General features: G+C 47.3%; 2 annotated features.

The window, feature by feature from the left end:
• Positions 358-962: an enhancer, noted in NCBI's record as "OCT4-NANOG-H3K27ac-H3K4me1 hESC enhancer chr4:53682956-53683560 (GRCh37/hg19 assembly coordinates)". NCBI's record gives its function as "activates a minimal SCP1, AML or CMV promoter by ChIP-STARR-seq in primed H9 embryonic stem cells {active_cell/tissue: H9 hESC(primed)}" and the evidence as "EXISTENCE:reporter gene assay evidence [ECO:0000049][PMID:30033119]".
• Positions 963-1,568: an enhancer, noted in NCBI's record as "OCT4-NANOG-H3K27ac-H3K4me1 hESC enhancer chr4:53682350-53682955 (GRCh37/hg19 assembly coordinates)". NCBI's record gives its function as "activates a minimal SCP1, AML or CMV promoter by ChIP-STARR-seq in primed H9 embryonic stem cells {active_cell/tissue: H9 hESC(primed)}" and the evidence as "EXISTENCE:reporter gene assay evidence [ECO:0000049][PMID:30033119]".

The following is a 2,286-nucleotide window of genomic DNA, read 5'->3' as shown; positions in this document are numbered from 1 at the left end:
GCTTCATTTCATTCATTTCATCTTCCATTGCTGATACCCTTTCTTCCAGTTGATCGCATCGGCTCCTGAGGCTTCTGCATTCTTCACGTAGTTCTCGAGCCTTGGTTTTCAGCTCCATCAGCTCCTTTAAGCACTTCTCTGTATTGGTTATTCTAGTTATACATTCTTCTAAATTTTTTTCAAAGTTTTCAACTTCTTTGCCTTTGGTTTGAATGTCCTCCCATAGCTCAGAGTAATTTGATCGTCTGAAGCCTTCTTCTCTCAGCTTGTCAAAATCATTCTCCATCCAGCTTTGTTCTGTTGCTGGTGAGGAACTGCGTTCCTTTGGAGGAGGAGAGGCGCTCTGCGTTTTAGAGTTTCCAGTTTTTCTGTTCTGTTTTTTCCCCATCTTTGTGGTTTTATCTACTTTTGGTCTTTGATGATGGTGATGTACAGATGGGTTTTCGGTGTAGATGTCCTTTCTGGTTGTTAGTTTTCCTTCTAACAGACAGGACCCTCAGCTGCAGGTCTGTTGGAATACCCTGCCGTGTGAGGTGTCAGTGTGCCCCTGCTGGGGGGTGCCTCCCAGTTAGGCTGCTCGGGGGTCAGGGGTCAGGGACCCACTTGAGGAGGCAGTCTGCCCGTTCTCAGATCTCCAGCTGCGTGCTGGGAGAACCACTGCTCTCTTCAAAGCTGTCAGACAGGGACACTTAAGTCTGCAGAGGTTACTGCTGTCTTTTTGTTTGTCTGTGCCCTGCCCCCAGAGGTGGAGCCTACAGAGGCAGGCAGGCCTCCTTGAGCTGTAGTGGGCTCCACCCAGTTCGAGCTTCCCGGCTGCTTTGTTTACCTAAGCAAGCCTGGGCAATGGCGGGCGCCCCTCCCCCAGCCTCGTTGCCGCCTTGCAGTTTGATCTCAGACTGCTGTGCTGGCAATCAGCGAGATTCCGTGGGCGTAGGACCCTCTGAGCCAGGTGTGGGATATAGTCTCGTGGTGCGCCGTTTCTTAAGCCGGTCTGAAAAGCGCAATATTCGGGTGGGAGTGACCCGATTTTCCAGGTGCGTCCGTCACCCCTTTCTTTGACTCGGAAAGGGAACTCCCTGACCCCTTGCGCTTCCCAGGTGAGGCAATGCCTCGCCCTGCTTCGGCTCGCGCACGGTGCGTGCACACACTGGCCTGCGCCCACTGTCTGGCACTCCCTAGTGAGATGAACCCGGTACCTCAGATGGAAATGCAGAAATCACCCGTCTTCTGCGTCGCTCACGCTGGGAGCTGTAGACCGGAGCTGTTCCTATTCGGCCATCTTGGCTCCACTCTCTATGGTCTGTTATTAAGTGAAAAAAAAAAAGCTGCTTACAAAACAGAATGTATAGCATGGAACTGATTATACAAAAATTATGCCTATATCCATAAACAATCTGGAAGGCTCTACTTCAAAATGTAAACACTGGTGGAATATTCAGGGCCATGAGTGTACAATGGCCCAGTTTGTGCAGGATGCGGGGGTACCACTTGAGACAATAAGTGGTGGCTGGCATCTTGGCACAGGTTGTGCCTGCTGGAAAGGTCCATCTTTTTCTAATCATACAATGGCATCTTATAGGCTGGTGGGGACTGCAGGTGATTTTCATTTTTATTCTATGTGCTTTCTCATGTTTTCCAAAACTTCTTCAATGAGTAGGTCCTACTTCTGTATTAACTTTAAAAAATGATACATAGTATAACTTTTTTTTTTTTTTTTTTTTTTTTTTTTGAGACAGGGTCTTACTCTGGTCGCCCAGGCTGGAGTGCAGTGGCAAAATCTCAGCTCACTGCAGCTTCGACCTCCTGGGCTCAGGTGATCCTCCCACCTCAGCCTCCCAAATAGCTGGTGCACACCACTACTCTCCCAGCTAAATGTTTTGTATTTTTAGTAGAGATGGGGGTTCACCATGTTGCACAGGCTGGTCTTGAACTCCTGGGCTCAAGTGATCCACCCATCTTGGCTTCCCAAAGTGCTGGGATTACAAGTGTGAGCCACCATGCTCAGCCCCAATTTTTAAGAGATAGATAATTGGTGGAAATTTAAACATGATGGAATATTTGATGATATTAAGGAATTATTTTTAAGTGTGGAAATGGTATTGTGGTTATATTTTTAAAAGTCATTAGTTTCTAGGGATGCATACTGAAAGGTATATAGGTAAAATGATAAAATGTCTGGGGTTGGCCTGGAAATAATATGGGAGGTAGTTAAGTGGGTGGGAGTATAGCATGAGAAAGAAAAGTTGCAAATTAACCATTGTTGAAGCTGGGTGCTAGATGCATGGG

Source organism: Homo sapiens, chromosome 4 (genome assembly GCF_000001405.40).
Source record: "Homo sapiens chromosome 4, GRCh38.p14 Primary Assembly".
Lineage (NCBI taxonomy): Eukaryota > Metazoa > Chordata > Mammalia > Primates > Hominidae > Homo > Homo sapiens.
The sequence above is the reverse complement of the archived record's forward strand: the minus strand, read 5'-3'. Positions and strand labels throughout refer to the sequence as shown.